General features: G+C 50.5%; 2 protein-coding genes across 14 annotated transcripts, besides 10 other annotated features; one reads left to right on the top strand and one right to left on the bottom strand.

Moving 5' to 3' along the window:
• The first annotated feature begins 3 nt into the window (after window positions 1-3).
• Window positions 4-15,675, top strand: ACOT8 (acyl-CoA thioesterase 8). Of its 5 annotated transcripts, NM_005469.4 has the most exons (6): window positions 4-208; window positions 2,104-2,237; window positions 8,721-8,946; window positions 12,976-13,133; window positions 13,675-13,869; window positions 15,440-15,675. In NM_005469.4, the coding sequence occupies exons 1-6, from the start codon at window positions 81-83 to the stop codon at window positions 15,556-15,558; spliced, it is 960 nt and encodes a 319-aa protein (NP_005460.2). In that variant the 5' UTR covers window positions 4-80; the 3' UTR covers window positions 15,559-15,675. The 5 variants fall into 5 exon arrangements, with proteins under 5 accessions (NP_005460.2, XP_005260296.1, XP_047295765.1 ...); XM_005260239.4 differs by lacking the exon at window positions 2,104-2,237; XM_047439809.1 differs by lacking the exon at window positions 15,440-15,675 and having other exon boundaries at window positions 13,624-13,869.
• Window positions 2,141-2,670: an enhancer, noted in NCBI's record as "NANOG-H3K27ac-H3K4me1 hESC enhancer chr20:44483365-44483894 (GRCh37/hg19 assembly coordinates)". NCBI's record gives its function as "activates a minimal SCP1, AML or CMV promoter by ChIP-STARR-seq in naive H9 embryonic stem cells {active_cell/tissue: H9 hESC(naive)}" and the evidence as "EXISTENCE:reporter gene assay evidence [ECO:0000049][PMID:30033119]".
• Window positions 2,671-3,200: an enhancer, noted in NCBI's record as "NANOG-H3K27ac-H3K4me1 hESC enhancer chr20:44482835-44483364 (GRCh37/hg19 assembly coordinates)". NCBI's record gives its function as "activates a minimal SCP1, AML or CMV promoter by ChIP-STARR-seq in naive H9 embryonic stem cells {active_cell/tissue: H9 hESC(naive)}" and the evidence as "EXISTENCE:reporter gene assay evidence [ECO:0000049][PMID:30033119]".
• Window positions 3,201-3,730: an enhancer, noted in NCBI's record as "OCT4-NANOG-H3K27ac-H3K4me1 hESC enhancer chr20:44482305-44482834 (GRCh37/hg19 assembly coordinates)". NCBI's record gives its function as "activates a minimal SCP1, AML or CMV promoter by ChIP-STARR-seq in naive H9 embryonic stem cells {active_cell/tissue: H9 hESC(naive)}" and the evidence as "EXISTENCE:reporter gene assay evidence [ECO:0000049][PMID:30033119]".
• Window positions 7,869-8,069: a silencer, noted in NCBI's record as "peak4224 fragment used in MPRA reporter construct". NCBI's record gives its function as "represses an SCP1 promoter by STARR-seq MPRAs in K562 erythroleukemia cells {active_cell/tissue: K562}" and the evidence as "EXISTENCE:reporter gene assay evidence [ECO:0000049][PMID:32103011]".
• Window positions 14,120-23,597, bottom strand: SNX21 (sorting nexin family member 21). Of its 9 annotated transcripts, none has more exons than NM_001042633.3 (5): window positions 23,456-23,597; window positions 22,928-23,195; window positions 22,280-22,437; window positions 16,938-16,948; window positions 14,120-16,757 (listed from the first exon to the last, which is right to left on the bottom strand). In NM_001042633.3, exons 1-5 carry the CDS (start codon window positions 23,474-23,476, stop codon window positions 16,739-16,741), a joined length of 477 nt encoding a protein of 158 aa, NP_001036098.1. In that variant the 5' UTR covers window positions 23,477-23,597; the 3' UTR covers window positions 14,120-16,738. The 9 variants fall into 9 exon arrangements, with proteins under 9 accessions (NP_001036098.1, NP_690857.1, NP_219489.1 ...); NM_152897.3 differs by lacking the exon at window positions 16,938-16,948 and having other exon boundaries at window positions 14,120-15,363; window positions 16,616-16,757; NM_033421.4 differs by lacking the exon at window positions 16,938-16,948.
• Window positions 14,980-15,532: an enhancer, noted in NCBI's record as "H3K4me1 hESC enhancer chr20:44470503-44471055 (GRCh37/hg19 assembly coordinates)". NCBI's record gives its function as "activates a minimal SCP1, AML or CMV promoter by ChIP-STARR-seq in naive and primed H9 embryonic stem cells {active_cell/tissue: H9 hESC(naive and primed)}" and the evidence as "EXISTENCE:reporter gene assay evidence [ECO:0000049][PMID:30033119]".
• Window positions 16,641-17,194: an enhancer, noted in NCBI's record as "H3K4me1 hESC enhancer chr20:44468841-44469394 (GRCh37/hg19 assembly coordinates)". NCBI's record gives its function as "activates a minimal SCP1, AML or CMV promoter by ChIP-STARR-seq in primed H9 embryonic stem cells {active_cell/tissue: H9 hESC(primed)}" and the evidence as "EXISTENCE:reporter gene assay evidence [ECO:0000049][PMID:30033119]".
• Window positions 16,991-17,191: a silencer, noted in NCBI's record as "fragment chr20:44468844-44469044 (GRCh37/hg19 assembly coordinates)". NCBI's record gives its function as "represses an EF-1alpha promoter that drives an FKBP-Casp9 reporter gene in an ReSE screen in K562 erythroleukemia cells {active_cell/tissue: K562}" and the evidence as "EXISTENCE:reporter gene assay evidence [ECO:0000049][PMID:32094911]".
• Window positions 23,014-23,063: a silencer, noted in NCBI's record as "silent region_12965". NCBI's record gives its function as "represses an Ori minimal core promoter by ATAC-STARR-seq in GM12878 lymphoblastoid cells {active_cell/tissue: GM12878}" and the evidence as "EXISTENCE:reporter gene assay evidence [ECO:0000049][PMID:35858748]".
• Window positions 23,104-23,223: a silencer, noted in NCBI's record as "silent region_12964". NCBI's record gives its function as "represses an Ori minimal core promoter by ATAC-STARR-seq in GM12878 lymphoblastoid cells {active_cell/tissue: GM12878}" and the evidence as "EXISTENCE:reporter gene assay evidence [ECO:0000049][PMID:35858748]".
• Window positions 23,244-23,553: a silencer, noted in NCBI's record as "silent region_12963". NCBI's record gives its function as "represses an Ori minimal core promoter by ATAC-STARR-seq in GM12878 lymphoblastoid cells {active_cell/tissue: GM12878}" and the evidence as "EXISTENCE:reporter gene assay evidence [ECO:0000049][PMID:35858748]".

Below are 23,673 nucleotides of genomic sequence, written 5' to 3'. Positions count from 1 at the left end.
TCTGCCGGAAGAGTCAGGTTCTGTGTATGTCTCCGCGTCTTCCGCGGAGCGGGTGTGCAGGGCCTGCAGCATTGAACTAGATGTCGTCCCCGCAGGCCCCAGAAGATGGGCAGGGCTGTGGCGACCGCGGCGATCCCCCTGGGGACCTCCGTAGCGTCTTGGTCACGACCGTGCTCAACCTCGAGCCGCTGGACGAGGATCTCTTCAGGTAGCCGGCAGCTCCTGCCCAGCATCCCCTCCTTTAGGGCAGAAACTTGATCTTGACTGCCGCCGCCCGGGGCCCCTGGCTCCGGGACTAGTATGGCTCTGCGTGGGATGCACCCTCTGCCACGATTAGGAGAGAACTCGCCCCCAACAGAGCTGTCCTCTCTGCTCTGGCTTCCTCCCTTCCTCTCCGCGCTGCGAGGTCTGCACAGCTGAGCAAATATAGTGGTGACCTGAGAGACCCTGCTCGGCAGCCTGCCCTAAGCCTTCACGGGGGAGCTAGCCCAGAGAGGGCAGTGATTTGCCCAAGGGCACACAGCTGATGGATCAGCCTTAAAACCGACGCCGCAGCTCCTTGTGTCTTCAGTATCCTTTTCTTCTCACAATATCCCGCCCCCAGTACCATTTGGTGGGTCTGGTTTCTCATTACTTATTCTGAGGCCTAAGCATGTTTTTTTCTTTCCCAGCATCGCTGAAGTTCTTGACTGCAGCAAGGGTTTCTTTCTTTCTTTGAGGCGGAGTCTTGCTCTGTTGCCCAGGCTGGAGTGCAGTGGTGCGATCTCGGCTCAGTGCAACCTCCGCCTCCCGGGTTCAAGCATTTCTCCTGCCTCAGCCTCCTGATTAGCTGGGACATACAGGCGCGCCACAGCCCAGCTAATTTTTTAACTTCTTTTAGTAGAGACGGGGTTTCACCGTGTTGGCCAGGCTGGTCTCGAACTCCTGACCTTGTAATCTGCCCACCTCTGCCAAAGTGCTAGGATTACAGGCATGAGCCACCGCGCCCAGCCCCCTGCAGCAAGGCTTCTAACAGCTTTGACCTCCAAGGCTTCTCCTGGCTTTACTGGAAGTTATCTTACTTTGAGCTCCCTTCCTTCCACTTAAGGAATTGTAAATAACTTCTTGGAGGGCTATTTGATTTTTGTTTTTGAAGACAAGATCTGGCCCTGTTGTCCAGGCTGGAGTGCAGTGGCACGAACATGGCTCACTGCAACCTCGACCTCCTGGGCCCAAGTGACCCTTCTGCCTCAGTCTCCCGTTTAGCTGGGACCATAAGCGCTTGCCACCACATCCAGCTAACTTTTTTATTTTTAGTAGACATGAGGCCCCACTTTGGAGCCCAGGCTGGTTTTGAACTCATGGGCTCAGGCGATCCTCCCACCTCGGCTTCCCAAAGTGCTGGGATTGATTACAGGCGAGAGCCACCTGCCAGGTCATGGAGGGCTGTTCATAACTCATTGTTACAGAAAATGCCAAACAGCTGGGACGTGGGAGGCTAGAGACATAATTATTCAGCTTCCAATGGGCCTACATTCTGGGCAAGCATTTTCATCTCTGGGGCCAAGCTGCAGTTTTCTCATCTGTACACTGAAGGAGTTAGACTTGATGTCTGAGGGCTCTTGTTATTTATTCATTTATACATTTATTTAATTTTATTTTTTGAGATGGAGTCTTGCTCTGTCACCCAGGCTGGAGTGCAGTGGTGCGATCTTGGCTCACCTCAACCTCTGCCTCCTGGGTTCAAGTGATTCTCCTGCCTCAGCCTCCTGAGTAGCTGGGATTACAGGTGCATGCCACCACGTCCAGCTAATTTTTGTATTTTTAGTAGAGATGGAGTTTCACCATGTTGGCCAGGCTGCTCTTGAACTCCTGATCTCAAATGATCCACCTGCCTCGGCCTCCCAAAGTGCTGGGATTACAGATGTAAGCCACTGCGCCCGGCCCAGAGGATTTTTATGCATAAGGATATTTGCCTGGGGAAAGGACCTATGGCTTTTACCATATTCTCAAAAGGATCTTAAACCCCAATATGGTGAAGAGATCATGCATTAGAGTCTTAGTGAGGGTAGTAGAATTTGGCCCAGTTCCCAAGTCTTTCCCTCTTTCCCCCTCTCCCTACAGAGGAAGGCATTACTGGGTACCGGCCAAGAGGCTGTTTGGTGGTCAGATCGTGGGCCAGGCCCTGGTGGCTGCAGCCAAGTCTGTGAGTGAAGACGTCCACGTGCACTCCCTGCACTGCTACTTTGTTCGGGCAGGTAAACCCCCCACTTCCTGCCCCAACCCAACCCTGGTGGCCCAGCAGCCATTTCTGGCCTTGGGGGCTGAGGTCAAAAGGGAAGAGAGGGAGACTGGAAGACAAGGGGAGGGGTGGCGGACACTACCACCCTAAGAGGTGTCTAGGGTGGAACGAGGTCTGGGGCTAACAATGAGCCTTGGACCTCACACCTGCTGGGACTCACTGGGTACCTGATGTCTGGCTGATAATGACACAAGACTTTGTTGCTTAACTGCTCCTTGTGGGCTTTTGTTCTTCCATTCTTAACATAGCTCCTGGTGCGGAGCGCTGTGCTAGGTTCTCAGTGTGCTGTGACCTCTGTGCTAGAGGTGTGGAGGTAGGGCAGCTTGGGTTGGAGAAGAGAGCACCAGCCTGAGAGTCAAGGGATCTAAGGCTTCTTTTGTCAACTGAGCATAGGGTCAATAAAAACAAACCAAAGATGTAGGGCCTAGCTTCAGTTTTGTCCATAATTTACCATGCAGCCTTGTGAGGTTACCTCCCCGCCCTACAGTTTGGTTTACTTCAGCTGTAAAATGGAGAAGGGTGGGACCAAGGGTATTTTAGTGGGATGATCTCTACAGCTTCTTACAGCTCTGGGGTCAGATAATGTAACTTAAAACCTATGTGTGAGGCCGGGCGCGGTGGCTCACGCCTGTAATCCCAGCACTTTGGAGGCCAAGGCGGGCGGATCACGAGGTCAGGAGATCGGGACCATCCTAGCTAACACGGTGAAACCCCGTCTCTACTAAAAATATAAAAAAATTAGCCAGGTGTGGTGGTGGGTGCCTGTAGTCCCAGCTACTCGGGAGGCTGAGGCAGGAGAATGGTGTGAACCCGGAAGGCGGAGCTTGCAGTGAGCCAAGATCGTGCCACTGCACTCCAGCCTGGGCGAGCACTCCAGCCTGGGCAACAGAGCGAGACTCTGTCTCAAAAACAAAAAACCTATGTGTGGTGGCTCATGCCTATAATCCCCGCACATTGGGAGGCCAATGCGGAGAATTGTTGGAACCCAGGAATTCAAGACCAGCCAGGGCAATAAATCGAGACCTTGTCTCTACAAAAAAATAAATAAAAGGAAAATAAAAGCAAAACCTATGCTAAAAAACAAACAAAAAAAACCCTCACTGTTTTCTTTCCTTCCCTGTTACCCCCAGAGCAGATGCCCTCATGTGTTCTGCGTAGATCCCCAGCTGAGAAGAGTTTGTGGACCTTTACAGTATGTGATTTGTATTAAGAAAACCATGGGGTTTCCCCCTTCATTTTGTAAATATGAAAGTTATCCCTGTAATGGTAAATACACTTTTTCATACTGTCCCGTGTCTCTTACTCCTCATCCCTGAGGAGTATTGATTGGCCCCCCTCTTCTCGGCCCCCAGTCACTGCTATAAAGTATTTGAATACTTACCTTGGGCTCAGCCAGGTTCTTATCTTTATGCTAGTTGGGAGTAAATATGTGCTTTGTTTCTTTAATTTGTTTGTAAGTACCAGCCTTTTGATATTGTAATCCTTCCAGCCTAGTGAAATACCTGGCTGTTTTCTTTTGTGTGGGTGGGGGCATTACTTGAACTCTGAATCTCTTCATCCTGTGATGGAAGAATTCAATGAGTCTTTGCCAGTAAAGTATCTAGTGCAGGGCTTGGCATAATCTAGTTTTCCATAAATATTATTAGTTTTTGATGATTAACTTATGGGAATAATTAAAATTTGCATGATACAGAGCATAGTTGTGTGCATTATCTTGTTTAGTCTTCATAAGTAAACATGGGTGGCAGGCATTCCTGCCATCATTCTTACCTAAGGAAACTGGGACCTGAAGAGGTTTGGAACCAGCTCCCACAGTGCCCAAGGAGGCAGAGCCAGGATTTGAACCTGGTTTATGTGTCTTTGAGTGCCAAACTCTTTCCTGCTTCTTTGCTTCGCTCTTGGGCAATAATTCTAAACAATGAGAGAGCTGCCAGGGTACCCATCCCAGGTTCTGGGGAAAAGATCCTCTTTCTTGGAAAGTCTTCATCCAGGAGCAGCGTGAAATGAGCTGTGTCCAAGCCACCATTTCAAAATAAATAATTATTTGGCCGGGCGTGGTGGCTCATGCCTGTAATCCTAGCACTTTGGGAAGCCGAGGCGGGCGGATCACCTGAGCTCAGGAGTTCGAGACCAGCCTGGGCAACATGGTGAAACCCAGTCTCTACTAAAATACTAAAAATTAGCCAGGCATGGCGGCATGTGCCTGTAGTCCCAGCTACTCAGGAGGCTGAGGTAGGAGAATTGCTTGAACTCAGGAGGCGGAGGTTGCAGTGAGCTGAGATCATGCTACTGTACTCCAGCCTGGGCGACAGAGCGAGACTCTTGTCTCCATCAAAAATAAATAAATAAATAAAAATAATTATTTGTGCCCTTGCTTGTGTCTTGAAAGGCTGCAAGATAGCTAAAATAATTGGTAGTTATTATGGGAATATTAAAAGTCAAAGGACATTAGGCCAGTAGTAATGGGATTTGGGAGAAGCGATCATGTCAAAAAATTTGGCTAAGCCATATTGTTGCAGTTTCATACAAGGTTTAGTTCTGAGCTTCCTGGCTGCAAGGCAAAAAGGGGAGAGCTCTTATCTGTTTGTGGTGTGACTCTGCCAGCTATATCAGATATTAAAACCAATGCTGTTTTTTGGCTGGGCATGTGGCTTATGCCTGTAATCCCAGGACTTTGGGAGGCCGAGGCGGGCAGATCGGCTGAGGTCAAGAGTTCGAGACCAGCCTGGACAATGTGGCGAAACTCCATCTCTACTAAAAAAAAAAAACACACACAAAAATTAGCCAGGTGTGGTGGTGCACACCTGTAGTCCTAGCTACTCAGGAGGCTGAGTCAGGAGAATCGCTTGAACCCTGGAGGTGGAGGTTGCAGTGAGCTGAGATCGTGCTACTGTACTCCAGCCTGGGTGACAGAGCAAGACTCCATCTAAAAAAAAAAAGGAAAATTAGCTGGGCGTGGTGACCTTAGCCCGTGATCCCAGCTACTCGGGAGGCTGAGGCTGAGGCTGAGGCAAGGAGAATTGCTTGAACCCGGCGGCTGGAGGTCGCAGTGAGCTAAAACTGCGCCACTGCACTCCCACCTGGGCGACAGATCGAGACTCCATCTCAAAAAAACAAAACAAAAAAGAGATGTTTCAATTACATTTTAAAAATAAAAGATGTTATGGGGGAGGGGGAGGGTTGGTCCTTGGCCATTTATCAAATCAGTTCTTTTTCTAAAAGCCCAGGAAAGAATGTGAATTAGTTGGGTTTTTGTTTTGTTTTTAGTTTTTCTCTACAGAGGTAAATTTAGAGCTTGAAGAATTCAGAACAAGGTCAGCAAACATTCTAGAAAGGGCCAGATAGTAAACATTTTAGGTTTTGCCAGTGAAAGCAACTATAGACAATATGTAAACAAATTAGCATGACTTTATTACAAAAAAATTGTATTTTAAGGCAACAGTTTCCTCATCTGTACAATGGGGGTAAGAGTGGCTCTACATAGTTATTGTGAGACCAACATGAGAAAACATACCCTCCTGTCCAATGCTGTCAGGCACCCTGCATCACTCCATAATCATTAACTCCCTTCAATATGCCTCAGGGCCTACCTGCTCTGTTCCAATAACAATTTTCAAGAATAGGGCTGGAACTCATTCACACTGAAAGGTAGACCAGAGTACTGAAGTTTCTGTGATCCTCCTCAGGAATCTGCACTTTAGCTTACCTGCAGACCAAGGATTGGATTAGAGGTTTTTTTTTGTTTTTTCCCCCCAAGTTTGGTGGTAGGGAGGAAGACTTCATTCCCAGTGTCTGAAAGCAGACTGCACAAGTAACTTTGTCTAGTGTCTGGACTCTTGGTAAGCCCTTCTCAAATGCCTTTAACCTTGAGGAGCTCGCACTCTGATAGAAGTGCTGCTGGTGGCAGTGCCTGATAACAGAGAGCTGAGCAAGCCAGTTGACCTCAGACAGTGATGTTTATTGCTGTTGATTGAGCCCTGGTGCCTGGTTGACTCCCCATTTGGATCAGAGTGAAGGAAGCAACACTTCTCTAGACCTGCTTCTTTCATCTGAAGGTTGAAAGTCATCCCCAAGATGTCTCATGGCCCAGATGTCAGGGTTCCTCAAGGTCAGCCTGACTCAGACAAAGTGAGAACTTCAGGGAAACCAGGGAAGTTCTCTTCCTCTCCAAATCTTCCCTCACCTGCTTGTTGTTGGCTGCCTTATCCCTGGCCAGTGCCTTCTACTCTGGTGGTGGTGGTCTTGTTGTTTTTGAGACAAGGTCTTGCTCTGTCACCTAGGCTGGAGCACAGTGACGCAGTCATGGCTCACTGCAGCCTTGATCTCCTGGCCTCAAGTGATCCTTCCGCCTCAGCCTCTTGATTAGCTGGGACTATAGGCACATGCCACCATGTCCAGCTAATTTTTATTTTTTATTTTTTGTAGAAACAGGGTCTCCCTGTGTTGCCTAGGCTCTTCCACTCTGCTTTGGAGCAGAGACACCTGACAGTGAAGGACCAAATGGCTTCCATATACATCAGGGGTGAAGTGACTGACAGTGGCCCTTGCCTGGGAGAGGCTGAATATACAAACAGACAATGGCTAGACCATGTAGAAAAACAGAACTCTGACGCACAATAGCAGCAACCAGCACAGGAAGCCAGCCTACTATCCACAAGTCAGACTTGTAGGAAGTCAGACCACTATCTTTACCAACCAGTCCAGCAAGCCAAATAATGACCACTGTAACAATTGGCCTCCAAAGCCAGGACTTGATTAATAACTGATAGCTGCCCTAATTTTTGCCCCTGCTTCCAACTTAGGACCAACCGGAGAAAGCCAAATATGTACTCCTAACCAATCACATAGGATGTCCCACTCTTTTTTGAGACAGAGTTTCACTCTTGTTCCCCAGGCTGGAGTGCAGTGGTGCAATTTCGGCTCACTGCAGCCTCCACCTCCCAGGTTCAAGCAGTTCTCCTGCCATAGCCTCCACCTCCCAGCTTCAAGCAATTCTCCTGCTGCAGCCTCCCGAGTAGCTAGGATTACAGGTGTGTGCCACCAGGCCTGGCTAATTTTTTGTATTTTTAGTAGAGACAGGGTTTTGCCATGTTGGCCAGGCTGGTCTTGAACTCCTGGTCTCAGAAGATCTGCCCGCCTCAGCCTCCCAAAGTGTTGGGATTACAGGTGTGAGCCACCGTGCCCAGCCAGGTGTCATGCTTCTAGTTAGCCCACCAACAGCTTCCCCATGCCAACAGCCTGCAATGGGAGCATCCCTGAAGCCTTTTTTTCCACTACAGAGCATTCCCATTCCTTTGCCTGCCTCTAAGTCTCTGCCAAAAGCAAGTGATGGTGGTTGACTTCCTGCTACAACAAGCTCTGATTGGCTGGGCGCAGTGGCTCATGCCTGTAATCTCAACACTTTGGGAGGCCAAGGTGGGTGGATCAGTTGAGGTCAGGAGTTTGAGACCAGCCTGGGCAACACAGTGAAACCCCATCTCTACAAAAAATACAAAAATTTGTTGGGTGTAGCGGCGCACGCCTGTAGTCCCAGCTACTTAGGAGGCTGAGGCATGAGCATGGCTTGAACCTGGGAGGCAGAGGTTGCAGTGAGCCCAGATAGCGCCACTGCACTTCAGCCTCGGTGACCCAGCGAAACTGTCTCTCAAAAAAAAAAAAAAAATTAGCTGGGTATGGTCATGCACCCCTGTAGTCCCCCCCCACTCAGGAGGCTGAGTCACAGGAATCGCTTGAACCTGAGAGGTGGAGGTTGCAGTGAGCCGAGATTACACCACTGTACTCCAGCCTGGGTGACAGAGCAAGACTCCATCTCAAACAAACAAAAAAAAGAACAAGCGCTGAATAAATAGCCTTTGTTTGTTCTCAAAAAAGAAAACAACAACAGAATAAACAGTAAACAGGCTGCAGGCTAGATTTACTGCTCCCTGATCTAGAATAATGGTTTTGGACTGATGACAAGATCCCAGGCATAGATGGAGCAAGATAGAAGCAAGGAGTATTAATTTTATTTAACAAACACATATAGAGCCCTCACTATGTGCCAGATATTATTCTAAACACTTTACAACTACGGATTCATTTCATTATCATTAAAATCCTGTAAGCGATGAGCACCATGATGATCCCCAGTTTGCAAATAAGCACACTGCTCAGAGAAGTGAAGGGTCACACGGCTGGTGAGTGGTGGAGCCAGGATTTGAATGCAAGGAATCTGTCAATGTCTCTGCTGTTTGTGCTGTTAGAGAAAAGCTCCACCTGCACAGGGAGAAGCCTGATGACAGGGCCTGGTGGTCTCTGTATCCCTGGGCCTGGACCTTAGCAGACCTCAGTTAGTAGTCACTGAGATGAAATGGAATGGAAGATGAGTAGTAGAGTGCCTGTCAGGCGTTGTGATGATGACAGGGCCTGTGGACCCACTGTGTCCTTGTGCCCACTGCAGGGGACCCGAAGCTGCCAGTACTGTACCAAGTGGAGCGGACACGAACAGGGTCGAGCTTCTCGGTGCGCTCTGTGAAGGCCGTGCAACATGGGAAGCCCATCTTCATCTGCCAGGCCTCCTTCCAGCAGGCCCAGCCCAGCCCCATGCAGCACCAGTTCTCCATGCCCACTGTGCCACCACCAGAAGAGCTGCTTGACTGTGAGACCCTCATTGACCAGTATTTAAGGTGAGAGACCTGGAGGCTCCATGGCAGACTTTTCAAAATGCAGCTGCTATCTGTTTGTGGGTCATAGAATCCTTTAGTGGGTCTTGACCAGCATTTTTAAAATACAGATTAGAAAAGAAGATACTGGAGTGAATAATATGTATGTATTAAGGGCAAGAATCCTTTTGTGAAACTTGAGGTTTAGTCATGTGTGTTTCTGGTGTGTGTCTGTACTGGGTCATGGTATAAAATGAAGGGCTTGGCCGGGTGCAGTGGCGCATACCTATAATCCCAGCACTTTGGGAAGCCAAGGCAGGAGGATTGCTTGAGACCAGGAGTTGGATACTAGCCTCGCCAACATAGCAAGACTCCATCTCTAATTTAAAAATAAGGCTGGGGCTGGGTGTGGGGGCTCATACCTATAATAACACTTTGGGAAGCCCAAGTGGGAGGATCACCTGAGCCCAGGAGTTCAAGACCAGCCTGGGCAACATGGTGAAACCCTGTCTCTATAAAAAATACAAAAATTAGCCGGGTGTCGGGGCATGTGTCTGTAGTCCCAGCTACTTGGGAGGCTGAGGCGGGGGGATCACTTGAGCCTGGGAGGTGGAGGCTGCAGTGAGCCGAGATCGTGTTACTGTGCTCCAGCCTGGGCAACAAGAGCAAGACTCTGTCTGAAAAAAGAAAAAAAGAATATATATTTTGTTGTTGTTTATATATATACATGTTTGTTTGTTTTTGAGATGGAGTCTTGCTCTTGTTGCCCAGGCTGGAGTGCAGTGACACCATCTCGGCTCACTGCAGCCTCTGACTCCCAGACTCAAGTGATCCTCCCGCCTCAGCCTCCCAAGTAGCTGGGATTACAGGCACCTGCTACCATGCCCAGCTAATTTTGTATTTTTAGTAGAGATGGCGTTTCACCATGCTATCCAGGCTGGTCTCAAACTCTTGATCTCAGGTGATCCACCCACCTTGACCTCCTAAAGTGCTGGGATTATAGGCATGAGCCACCATACCTGGGAAAAAAAACCATATATATATTTTATATATATATGTATATAGAAATACTTCCGTAACCACTTGTTAAGTACCACCTCCCCAGCCCCCTAAGTGATTCCCTCTCTCCCCCAGGCCCCTGGTCCAGCAACTTAGGACTTAATGCACACCAGGAGTGAGTGTCCTCTGGAGAGCTGCAGCGCTATGGCCTATGTTTGGTCACTGCCTTTGCATTAGTGCATGTTTTTGTTTGTTTGTTTGTTTTGAGACAGAGTCTCGCCCTGTTGCCTAGGCTGGAGTGCAGTGGCATGATCTCGGCTCACTGCAACCTCTGCCTCCCAGGTTCAAGCAATTCCCGTGCCTCAGCCTCCCAAGCAGCTGTGATTACAGGCACATGCCACCATGCCTGGCTAATTTTTGTATTTTTTTAGTAGAGACCAGGTTTCGCTATGTTGACCAGGCTGGTCTTGAACTCCTGACCTCAAGTGATCGACCTGCCTTGGTCTCTCAAAGTGCTGGGATTACAGGCGTGAGCCACCGTGCCCGGCCACATGTTTTATGTATATAAAACATATGTACAAAAATACAAATATGTATTTTCCCCTAACCATTAGACCACCAGGGAGCATGTTAGATATTTTGAATACCTGGTAAAATATATTTATTTGGATCACACCTAATCAAGTTTGAAAAATGCTGGTACAGGGGAAAGAGCTCTGGGTCCAGACAAAGGATAGACACATGGATTCTGTCCAGGGCTGTGCCTCTGTGAATGCTCACCTGCTGTGGGACAGTGCCCAACTCCCCAGGGCCCTAGTTTCTTCTTCTAAAAAATGGGAATGCTCATTTCTGCCCTGCCTACTTCTTAGCTGTATCATAAGGAGAGAATGTCTCTATCTCGTGTTAGATACTGGGGAGGCAGCAGAGTATGACGGGATGGATGTGGGTTTGGGAACCTGAAAGGCCTGGATTCAATTCTAGATTTTGTCCCTACTAGCTGTGTGAGTTTGGGCAAGTTGCTTTCCCACTCTGAGCCAGTACTCACCATTATAAAATGGTGCTAATCATATTCCTACCTCATAAGGCTGCTGTGAGGATTAAATAAGAGAGAAAAGGCACTTAGCGTGCTAGTACTAACTAGCACAATGGCAGTGAATTGTAGTTATATCACTATTAACAGAAAAAACACAGGGCCTGGTGTGTGGTTGCAGTTCGACAAATGTTTGCTGAAATGAAAGGAAGACATTGTTAAAGGACCTTGAATTTAGATCTGTGCTGTTAATAAGGTAGTCTCTAGCCACTCGTGGCTATATTACATTAATTAAAATTAAATAGGTCCGGGCGCAGTGGTTCATGCCTGTAATCCCAGTACTTTGGGAGGCCAAGGCGGGTGGCTCACCCAAGGTCAGGAGTTTGAGACCAGCCTGGCCAACATGGTGAAACCTCATCTCTATTAAAAATACACACACAAAAAAATTAGCCAGGCGTGGTGGCCCGTGCCTGTAATCCCAGCTACTCAGGAGGCTGAGGCAGGAGAGTCGCTTGGACCCAGGGGGCAGAGGTTGCAGTAAGCAAGATTGAGTCACTGCACTCCTGACTGGGCAACAGAGCGAGATTCCGTCTTAAAAAAAAAAAAACAAAAAAAAACCAAAGTCAGTAGAATGAACAATTCTGTTCCTCAGTTGCATTAGCCACATTTCAGGTGCTCCATAGTCACATGTGGCTAGTGGCTACCATAGTGTGCTGTGCAGATAGGCATTCCATCATCATAGGAGGTTCTGTCCAACAGCACTCCAGAGGATAGGGGTGAAAATGGCAGGACCTGTGCAGAGCACTATGGGTGGTTGTCACTGTATTGAAGGGAGTTCCTTGGAATGGGCTCCTCCCCCTGGGGGGATGCAATGTTCCCTACTGTGTAGGGTTTGGTAACTCAGGCCAAGTCAGGCAGCCTGTTTCTTGAGTGTTTAAAATAATGAAGTGGCTGGGCACAGCAGCTCACTCCTGTAATCCCAGCACTTTGGGAGGCTGAAGTAGGAGGATCACTTAAGGCCAGGATTTTGAGACCAGCCTGGGCAACATAAAGAGACCCCATCTCTACAAAAAAAAGTAAAAATAATCCCAGCATTTTGGGAGGCTGAGGCGGGCGGATCATGAGGTCAGGAATTCGAGACCACCCTGGCCAACACAGTGAAACCCCATCTCTACTAAACATACAAAAATTAGCTGGGCATGGTGGCAGGCGCCTGTAATCCCAGCTACTCGGGAGGCTGAGGCAGGAGAATCACTTGAACCTGGGAGGCGGAGGTTGCAGTCAGCTGAGATTGCACCACCGCACTCAAGCCTGGGTGACAGAGCTAGACTCCGTCTCAAAATAAAGAAATAATAAAAATGTTAGCCAGGCACAGTGGCGTACACCTCTAGTCCCAGCTACTCGGGAGGCCAAGGCAAGAGGATGGCTTGAGCCTGGGAGTTGGAGACTGCAGTGAGCTGATTGCGCCACTGTACTCCAGCCTGGGTGAGAAGACGACCTTGTCTCTAAAAAAATAGAAAATAATCATACTGTGGACCCAGATTGCCTGAGTCCAAATCCTGTCTCTCCAATTTTTAAGCAAGCTACCTGGACTCTGTGCTTATTTCACTGATGAAATGGGGGTGATAATAGTACCTATCTCACAGGGTTGTTGTGAGGAATACTATTGTATGTACAATGCTTAGAACAGTGCATATTACAGGGTATGCCTTATTACTATGATGTGTTGGTTAGATATTCATGATCTTGTCTTCACAGTGTTGGTTATGAGGTAGGTTACTATCATTATCCACATTTTGCAGATGGGAAAATAGACTCAGATTACTAATTAGCACGAGACCACATGGCTCGTAAGTGGCCAAGAAGGGATTCAAACGCTGCACTATCCTGCCTGCCACAGGGGAGGGGAGCTTTGGGGATATCAGGGGTCCCTGTGGAAGAATGAGGGGAGTCAGAAGAGGCAATGCAGATGTGACTCCCTCTCTTCCTGGGTCTCACCCCGACCCTCTTCCCTTTACTTTCAGGGACCCTAACCTCCAAAAGAGGTACCCATTGGCGCTCAACCGAATTGCTGCTCAGGAGGTCCCCATTGAGATCAAGCCAGTAAACCCATCCCCCCTGAGCCAGCTGCAGAGAATGGAGCCCAAACAGATGTTCTGGGTGCGAGCCCGGGGCTATATTGGTAAGAGTACCCCATGGATGGGAGGAAACCACTCTCCAAGGGGTCTACCACTCATTTGCTGTGTGGCCTTGGGCACATGAGTTCCCTTCTCTGGGCCTGTTTCCTTATCTGCATGATGGGGAAGTTGGCTTAGCTTCTCACCTGGGCCCTCTCAGCCCTTTGCATGGGGAGAAGGTGGAGATGACTATAATCCCGACACAAGGCCTTTCTGAGGAAGGCAAAAGGCACCTCGCTGGGGTTGTTGTCCAGCTTTGCTGCTAACTATAAAGTATCTTTGTGCAAATTGGAAGAAGACACCCCTTTTGGGGCCTAGAGTGGGAGACTTGGGTGGTGAAGACTGAATTTCAGTCCCTGCTCACCCCTGCCCTCCCCAAGTCGCCATCTCACTTCTCCCCTATCACACACACACACTGTAGGCCAAGCGCTCTTGTGCAGCAACCAGTCTGCACACCCATGCACGGGAGTCCCTTTTCCCCCTACCTCCGTGCAGGTCCTGAGCTGGAAAGCCCAGGAGCCCAGGGCTGATGGGGACCTGTTGCAGGCGAGGGCGACATGAAGATGCACTGCTGCGTGGCCGCCTATATCTCCGACTATGCCTTCTTGGGCACTGCACTGCTGCCTCACCAGTGGCAGCACAAGGTGCACTTCATGGTCTCACTGGACCATTCCATGTGGTTCCACGCCCCCTTCCGAGCTGACCACTGGATGCTCTATGAATGCGAGAGCCCCTGGGCCGGTGAGTGTGGGGCCGTGTGGGACAAGGGCACTGACCTTGAGTGGCAGGAGCCTGCTTTCTTGGGTGATGCTGATTTCCCGACTTCCTGTGTGGCGCTGCACAGGTCACTTCCTTTCCTTCCCTCCCAGGCTTTGGCATCTTCATCTTCAAAATGAGAGGGTGAGGCCGGGACACCTGCTCTGCTCTAAATTTCTAGAATGTGCTGGAAATGTGATTCACCTTCTCCCAGGGACCCAGTTCTAGTCCCAAAACCAGTTCAGATTCTTTGTATTACAATAGGCAAATCATATCTTCCATCTGAACCTCAGTTTCCTCATCTAAACAAAGAGGGTTACATTACAGCAGTGGTATCCAAACCCGCAGTCCATCAGACTGCCATTTGGGGATGCCTTTTCAAAATAGATTCTGATTCCACCCTCAAGATTCTCACTCAGTAGGTCTTGGATAAGGTCCAGGAAACTGTATTTTTAAGTTCTCTAAGTGATTCTGATTAACCTGATTGGGATCGGGGCATTCAGTGGTCCCTAAGGGCCTGCTTGGACCTTCCTTGCAGGGGAGAGAAACAAGACTCGTTCATCAATGTCTAGCTTCAGAACCCTGACCTCCTTTCCAAGGGAGTACATTTCAAATGAAGAAAAGCTTTGCTTGATAAACCAAGGACAAAACTCAAGGATTCTTTATACTCAGATAAGGGGTATTCTCAAGTACCAATAGCATCACAATCCAAGATTGATAACCTTGAAGTGAGGACATGGGTTCAGATTTGGCTTCATCATGGGGCCAAATTCCTGACCCTCTCTGGATTTCAGTCCTGGTCTGGAAAACTGGACAACACATAACTGCTTCATTTGGCTACTGTGAGAACTGAGTGAGCTCTGCTATGTGTAAGGGAAACCAGCAATCATCCTCATAAACATCAAACTTGGGCCCAAAGCCAGCAAGGGAGAAAGAGTCTCCAGATGGGGAGGGAAGAGGCCAGACCTCATGGCCTCAAGTCCTCTCTTCTGAGTCCTTTCTTCCCCTTGGTGGTGGTAGTGGGGATATTTTTCATGAATTACCACTTGGAGGACCTGGCTTGATTTATTATACAGGGAGCCGATAGTTTTCCTAACACAAGTGGTCAGAGGTACAGCAGTTCTGCTTGGCCGAGCTGTTGAAGGAGACTGTTCTCAGAGCTCCTCCCTCTGTGATCTTTTTGAGGAAGCGAGGAGAGGTGTGAAAGTGCTTTTAAACTGTCAACTGGGGTTCCTGTGGGAGGAGTTACCCCTCAATGACGGTCCATAATAAGCTCATGAAGGGGCATTTGGAGCAGCCACGACACTCAGTGCACCCTTGTGTGGGGCAGCCCTGCCCTGGGCCAGACCCTTTGCAAGAAGTCCACTTGGAGGTTGGGCATGGTGATGTGCGCCTGTAATCCCAGCTGCTCAGGAGGCTGAGGCGGGAGGATCCCTTGAACCCAGGCGCTTGAGACCAGCCTGGCAACTTAGTGAGACTCTGTTTCAGGAAAAAAAAAAAAAGTGTATTTGGCTGTTCTGAAGCAGGCCATCATCACCCTTCACCTCACCCACAGGTGGCTCTCGGGGGCTGGTCCATGGGCGGCTGTGGCGTCAGGATGGAGTCCTAGCTGTGACCTGTGCCCAGGAGGGCGTGATCCGAGTGAAGCCCCAGGTCTCAGAGAGCAAGCTGTAGCCAGAGGTACCAGCTTCGCCTGGGGCTTCAAGAACCTCCCATCTATCCCCATTCCTGAGACAGGAGTTACAGTCCCTTTTGGCCCTCACATCCAATAAAGAGACTGATACCACTGGAGTGGCTGGCTTTTAATTCCCCTGGGCCAGACCTGCAGCCTTGCCTTCATCCCTTAACTCCAGGACTCCAGGGGCAGAGTCCCTGGCCTTCAGCCAAGAGGCCTTGCCAGCTTGGGGGCCCACCAACAAGGGAACATTGCCCCAACCTGTGCCACAGCCCCCCGGCTGTTTATAGGCTGGAGAGGCTGTGTCAGACTTCCCTGTACTACACAAGGGCAACCCCAGCCAAAGCTCACCCTGAGCCTAGCTCAACAGAAGTTTCCTTGATCTGCTTCACATTCTCTTTTGGAACTTCTAGGGGCTCCCAGCACCCTCTGCAGCCTCCCAGCTATTCTGTTCTCATCAGGTCCTTCCCCTGCCTTCTGGGGCAACCCCTCTCCTCACAGTGGCCTTAAATCTAGGCAAGGGTTAGTCCAGCACCTCCTTGATGAGCAATTCTTTGAGACTGGGGGGTGGTGTGGGGGTAAGGCCTGCCTCCTGCAGGGCTTGGAGCCGAGCCTCTGATTGACGTTTGTCCAGGCCCAGGCGCCAGGAGAGCCGGACATGGGCCTCCAGAAAGGGTGCCAGCAAAGGGTGGAGGCTCTTGTCCCCAAGCAGCTGCAGGGCCTTCTCACAGCATGCCCGGGCCTCTCCAGGGTCTTCCAGCTCCTGGTGGCACACGGCCAGCCCAGCCAGGGTCAGCAGGGGGCGGTCTGGGCCAGAGGGGGTGCCCAGCTGGGCTTGCAGCTGCCAGGCATTGGCCCAGAGTGCCAGAGCCTCACGATAGAGGCCAGTACAGGTGAGGCTCTGTGCCCGCCGCAGCTCCGGCAGCACGAAGAAGTCCTGCAGGTCCGGGGCATGGCGCAGCTCAGGCACTGCCTGCAGGTGACCCAAAAACTGCTCAAAGGCCCGGCTACGGCGGGCAATGGTCTCTGCAGTAAAATTCCGGCGCAGCCGCTTACGGGGGAAGGAGATGGCAGCCATTGGGCCCCGGAATTGCCGCTGCAGGTTTCGGTGCAGCCGCTCAAAGTCCGAGTAACGGCGAGAGATCTGGGCTGGCTGGCAATCTGGCGGTCCTGGGCCGATCACGGCGAGGGTGTAGAGCTGCAGGGAGGGTGGGTGTCAGGGCAAATGCAAGTTGTCCACGGGCCCGTTCCCTCCCCATCCTTCCCCATCCCCCACACTCCCAGCTGTACCTCCCCACCTCTTCCTTTCACCCCTGGGACAGCACCCAGGAGGGCGGGAGCTGCTGCGCAGTGGCGGGGAAGCCCAGTCCCATCTTACCTGAGGTTTGTCTGAAATGACCCAGGCCCAAGGCAGCAAGAAGAGAGAAAGACAGAGATGAGCTTCAGTGCCCGGGGCTGCTGCCCCTTTTTTTGTACTCCCTTCCCATAGAGCATTAGTTCTTCTGACAGCCCCCTCTGGAAAACCAGACATAAGCTGAAACCCCAGCCAATCTCTTGGGGCTCCTTTAGGACCAGCTTGGAGCTTGTTCCACTTTGGACACCTGGCCTCCACATCCCTGGTCAGGCTTTTCCAAACTAGACCCAGAGGACAGGTCTGTAGATAGCCACAACTGCCATAACTGTGAAAAGTATACTGGCCTAGGACTCAAGTTCTAACCCCAGGTCAGCTACTCCTTCTCTGTGTGACCCAGGCAAGGGAGTCCCCCTCTGGGTCCACTTCTGTTTCTAGTGAAGGAAGTGCTCGGTCAAGTCAGTGTTTGTCCAAAAATGAGACATGTACAAGTATTGGTACCTGAGGTTTTTAGGTGGTGTGCACTAGAGTAAATATCACTGTATCAGGAGGTTGGTCCCCTTTTAATTATTATTTTTTGAGACAGGGTCTCACTGTTGGCCAGGTTGGAGTACACTGGTACAATCATAGCTTACTGCAGCTTCAACCTCCTGGGCTGAAGCATTCCTCCTGCCTCAGCCTCCCAAGTAGCTAGGACTATAGGCATGCACCACCACACTCAGCTATTTAAAAAAATTTTTTTTTTTTTTTTTGTATGGAGATGAGGGGGGGTCTCACTATGTTGCTAGGGCTGGCCTTGAACTCCTGGCCTTGAACAATCTTCCTAGCTAGGCTTCCCAAAGTGCTAAGATTACAGGCATGAGCACCACACCCAGCCTAATTGTTTTTTAATCTTTCTGACTACAAATTGAGAAGCTCTCAGTTTGGTTTTGTTGGGGTTTTTTTATTTTTTTATTTTTTTTGAGACGGAGTCTCGCTCTGTTGCCCAGGCTGGAGTGCTGGAGTACAGTGGCACGATCTCGGCTCACTGCAAGCTCCGCCTCCTGGGTTCACTCCATTCTCCTGCCTCAGCCTCCCGAGTAGCTGGGACTACAGGCGCCTGCCACTACGCCCGGCTAATTTTTTGTATTTTTTAGTAGAGACGGGGTTTCACTGTGTTAGCCAGGATGGTCTCGATCTCCTGACCTTGTGATCCGCCCGCCTTTGCCTCCCAGAGTGCTGGGATTATAGGTGTGAGCCACCGCGCCTGGCCAGCTCTCAGTTTGGTTTTAAAAAAAGGACTTCTTGGGCAGGTTGCAGTGGCTCACACACACACCTGTAATCTCAGCACTTTGGGAGGCTGAGGCAGGTGGATCACCTGAGGTTGAGAGTTCGAGACCAGGCTGACCAACATGGAGAAACCCTGTCTCTACTAAAAATGCAAAATTAGCCAGGCGTGGTGGCACATGCCTGTAATCCCAGCTACTTGGGAGGCTGAGGCAGGAGAATTGCTTGAACCTGGGAGGTGGAGGTTGTGGTGAGCCGAGATTGCTCATGGCACTCGAGCCTGGGCACCAAGAGTGAAACTCTCTCTCAAAAAAAAAAAAAAAAAGTACTTCTCTAACACTTCTCATCTCCATTTTTAGAAAAGAGTCAGAAAGTGGATCTCAGGTCAGGGCCTCCTTCAGGCAACAACATCTAGGCAAGATTTAATGACGTTTCATTTTCACTACTTACTTATTTACTTTATTTATTTATTTAGTCTCGCCCTGTCGCCCAGGCTGGCATGCAGTGGCACAATCTCCGCTCACTGCAACCTCTGCCTCCTGGGTTCAAGCAATTCTCCTGCCTCAATCTCCCGAGTAGCTGGGATTACAGGCGCCTACCACCACATCCGGCTAATTTTTGTATTTTTAGTAGTGTCGGGGTTTCACCGTGTTGGCCAGGCTGGTCTTGAACTCCTGACCTCAGGTGATCTGCCCACCTCAGCCTCCCAAAGTGCGGGGATTACAGGTGTGAGCCACCGTGCCTCACCTTTTATTTTTATGGCTAGCTTCTCTCGGTGGCAAGTGAGACTTTCCACGTACGGTAGTGCTATGAAGTTGTCTTTTAAAATTACTTAAAGGATGGGCACAGTGGCTCATACCTGTAATCCCAGTACTTTGGGAGGCTGAGGCAGGAGAACAGCTTAAGGCCAGGAGTTCGAGACCAGCCTGGGCAACATGGCAAGACCCTGTCTCTAAAAAAAAGAAAAAGAAAAAGAAAAAGAATTAGTTGGGCACTTGTGGTCCCAGCTACTCAGGAGGCTGAGGCAGAGAATCATGTGAGCCCACGAGTTCAAGGCTGCAGTGAGCTATGATCACGCCACTGCACTCCAGCCTAGGCGACAGAGCAAGACTCCGTCTCGATAAACTTATTTAAGAAAAAAAATAGGTTCGGCTGGGCGTAGTGGCTCACACCTGTAATCCCAACACTTTGGGAGGCTGAGGCGGCAGATCACTTGAGGTCAGGAGTTCAAGACCAGCCTGGCCAACAGTGAAACCCCATCTCTACTGAAAATGCAAAAGTTAGCCAGGCATGGTGGTGGGCACCTGTAATCCTAGCTACTCAGGAGGCTGAGGCGGGAGGATTGCTTGAACCTAGGAGGTGGAGGTTGCAGTGAGCTGAGATTGCACCACTGCACTCCAGCCTGGGCAACAGAGCAAGACTCTGTCTCAAAAAAGAAAAAAAAAAAGATAAAGAAAAAAAAATAGGTTCATTTAAAGAAAAATGTTAAGAAGAAAAGGACACAAGTGGCATTTTTAGATAGGACAAGAATCAGGGAGGTATTGGAATGACTGAGGTTTGGAAAACACTGAACAAGATGATCACGAAGTTCCCCGCCTCCCAGGTCTGAGAACCTGAATATGGATTAACCTATAATGCCAAGCCAACAGGTTTAAAAGGAGAGTTAACCAGTGTTAGATGTTAAAGGCACCCTAACACCAAATCCAGATCTTTCTCTCACATTTGTTCTGTGGAACTGACAATACTCTAGCCACTCCTGGTCAGTTAGGTTTGCTTACTCTGTCCTCTTGAAGATTCACAGTGTATATCACTATTAGGGATTAAATACTTTAACAATAAAGAAACTTATTGTATTCTCATTTAACTCTGCATTCTCAAAACATATTGCCTGCAAAACCTTTATTTAGAAACAGCTATTAACATTCCAGGGAACTAGTTTTCTGCAGGACACACTTTAGGACACCAGTTTTCTTCAGGACACACTGGTCTATATAATAAGCCTTTATGTTCATCTAGTTTACATTTTGTATCCATTATCTCATTGACCTTGTAACATGCAGCCAGATGGGTGATAATGACAGTAGTTCCATTACCCAAGCATTTACCCTGTGCCTCCTGTTGTACCAAGCACTCTTTACATCTGTGATTTCATTTAATCATCACAACAGCACTGCAAGGAAGGTCCTTATCTCTGACAGCTGAGGAAGCAGGCTCAAAGAGGGGGAAAAGGGCTCAAAGACTTGCCGTAAGTCACACAGCTGGAAAACAGCCCAGCTGGGATTTAAACTCAGGTTGATCTGATTCCAAAGCCTGTGCTCTTCACCCCCACAAGTTGAGTGGGGAATTAGGGTCCCCATTGTACACAGGAGGTGCCTTGCTTCTCCAGACACAGGCCGGGGCATACTTGGCCATCCTGCTCTATCTTGTCATCCCTTCCCATCCAGGTACCCACAGTCACCCCCATTCCTCTCAGCCTCTGAACTATTCCTTGGTGTCCCCTTCCAGTGTATGAACCCAGAGTTCTGAGACCTTTGCCACTTCAGACTTCATCATTGGCCACACGTGGTGGTGCACAGCTGTAGTCCTAGCTACTTGGGAGGCTGAGGTGGGAGGATAGCTTGAGCCCAGTTGGAGGTTGTAGTGAGTTATGACTGCACCACTGCACTCCAGCCTGAGTGACAGAACGAGACCCTGTCTCAAAATTTTTTTTTTTTTTTTTTTTTTTTTTTGAGACGGAGTCTCGCTCTGTTGCCCAGGCCGGACTGCAGTGGCTCGATCTCGGCTCACTGCAAACTCTGCCTCCTGGGTTCACGCCATTCTCCTGCCTCAGCCTCCCAAGTAACTGGGACTACAGGCGCCTGCCACCATGCCCGGCTATTTTTTTGTATTTTTAGTAGAGACGGGGTTTCACCGTGTTATCCAGGATGGTCTCGTGACCTCGTGATCCGCCCGCCTCGGCTTCCCAAAGTGCTGGGATTACAGGCGTGAGCCACCACGCCCGGCCTCAAAAATTTTTTTAAAAGACTCAATAATCGGAGTCGGTCCCTGCTGAAATTGGAGTAGTCACCCCATGGGTGTGGCCCTTGCTTACTAACAGCAACAGAAAAGGGTGGAGAGGCCCAGATGTGGGACTGGGCTCCAGGCCCCCTCCTGCTGAGTCAGAGGTGGAGAAGGGTGGTGAAGAGGAGGGGAGTGAGAGATGGAGAGCTGCCACTGACAGGAGTGGCCAGCTCAGCTGGCTTTCAGGCCTGGCCTGAAAAGGGACTGGAGCAGGAGTCGCTGTGGGCATTAAAGGAGCAGACCTCATTCTCCAAGTCAGTCTCTCAACAGCAAGGAAAACAGCAAGGGACTCCAAGGTCCTCCCCAACATTGCTCTTCATCCTAACCTCCACCAACCCTCTAAGTCTAGCCCTTAGGGACAAGGTCGGGTGCTTGAGAACTGATTGACCTGTGCGTTATAAGGACACAGCAGGCCCTAGATGACAAACATTTTCAACCCAAAGTTAAATAATGATGACATAGCTACCATTTCATTGACCACGTCATAATGCCAGGCACACTGCTAAGGGCTTTTTGTCCATTGTCTCATTTAACTCCTGCTGTAATCTTCTGCATTTTCCCCATTGCTATAATGAGGAAACGGAAGATGACCAAGGTTAAACAACTCACCCAGAGTCAAACAACTGGAAATAAGTGGGAGTCAAGATTGGTCTGGATCGAAAGCCTATTTCCTTAACTACCAGCCCATGCAACTTGGATCTCAAGTTTGACCCAGATAACATCTGTCTCTCTGTATCTCACATCTTGCTACAATTTGCAAAAACCTTGTGGGCTGGGTGGGGAAGTGCACACACCAGTTCTCTTAGTCTCAAAACCAGGTTAAGAGGAAGGTCCTTAATCCCCACTTCAGTCAGTCTCAAGGAAACTAAGTCTTGTGTGAGGATTTGCTCAAGTTACATCCCCTTTCTGACCTCAGTTTCCCCATTTGTAAACAAGGTAACCATTTATAACTACATAGACCCCTCAGGAAGTTGGGGTCTTCCCTACTTGCTCCTAGCCATACTTCTGGACTCACAGCCCAGGGGTTCTAGACCCTCACTCACCACGTACTTGGAGGGCGGGTCCTTGACAACGTTAGCGCTGGTCACTTCGAAGAGCAGCCGCTGGGGTGCCAAGGTGTTCCGGGACTTCTTCCAGAAATCCTGCAGCTGCCGCGCCAGGAGCTGACTGCCCCACTGCCCATCAGGTGGGGGGCTCCGTTCTGCAGACACATGACCAGTCATATCAATGGGCCTAGGGCCAGGGTCGACATCAACCACTGACGTGGCCTCACTCATCCTCCCAGTGTGAGGCAGGACTTACCCCCTTTTTACAGAAATGGAAACTGAGGGACAGAGAGGCACCGAGGAGCCAAACACCGTGCCTGGCAGACAGTAGGGGCTAAATTAATAGCTCCACCCTCAAAATATCGTTAATACATCATTTCCATTCGGATCCCAAGCCCTGTACATTTAATGCCTGCAGCAATTCTGAGATGAGAGTGAGTTCTCCCACTTGACACAAGGGAAAACTTGGCTCAGAGGGGGGTTAAGACTCTCTCAAGGTCACACAGCCAAGAGGTGGCCCAGGCGCTTTAAGAAGTGTGGGAGTTTCAGCTGGATCAACTTAGCGCCCTGGATGCTCTGGGAACGCGGCTGGGATGGAGGCCTAATCGAGCCCCAGGGTTCCCGCCTCCGTCCTCCTGCACTCGCCTGCGTCTTCTCCTGACGTCCCATCCCCGAGGGGCAGCTGGTCAGGGCCAGCCTCCTCGTCGTCCTCGTCCTCGTCGTCCTCGTCGTCCTCGGCGCTGGTGAAGCTGAGGGTGCCGCTGAGTCGGGAGGACAGGCCCTCGGCGTCGTCGTCCTCCAGCTCTGAGCTCTCCGGAAACTGCTCGGCCTCTGGACTGGCCGCCGCCTCCCCGGGGCCGTCGCCGGCCAAGGCGTGCCGCAGCCGGTGCAGGAGCCGGGAGGCCATGGCACCCTGGGGGGAGCGCGCGACGCTGTGTACCGGATCCCGGAGGAGGGGTACCCCAGCCCGGCGCAGGAGGAGGAGGGGCGGGGCCCGAACCGGAGAGGGAGGGGCGCGGTGAGGCCCCACCCCCTGGCAGTCCGAGGTCTTGCGAACCAGGGGACCCAGCCAGCATCGCTTTCCCCCCAACCCACTCAGCCTAGGACCGCGTTCCTCCCCGGAGGGGCTCAGGACCCTCCCGATGTCTCTTGCGCCGCCTCGTGCGCCTCTACCTCCTGCGTCCCACGGTGCATTCAGGGGCGCGCCGCGCCCCAGGGGTCCGGGTGCAGCCCCCCGCAGCCCATGGAGGTCGGCCGGGTTCTGCAGGGCTCCGCCGGGCTCAGGCCGCTCAGAGCGCCGCTCGGGCAGCTTCCTGCCGCCGCCCCGCCTCCTGCCCCGCCCGCTCGCCCGAGCCGCCCGAGAATCCCGGGCCCTTGGCTCCAGGAGGGAC

Source organism: Homo sapiens, chromosome 20, assembly GCF_000001405.40.
Source record: "Homo sapiens chromosome 20, GRCh38.p14 Primary Assembly".
Classification (NCBI taxonomy): domain Eukaryota; kingdom Metazoa; phylum Chordata; class Mammalia; order Primates; family Hominidae; genus Homo; species Homo sapiens.
This window is presented reverse-complemented; position numbering and strand designations above follow the sequence as displayed.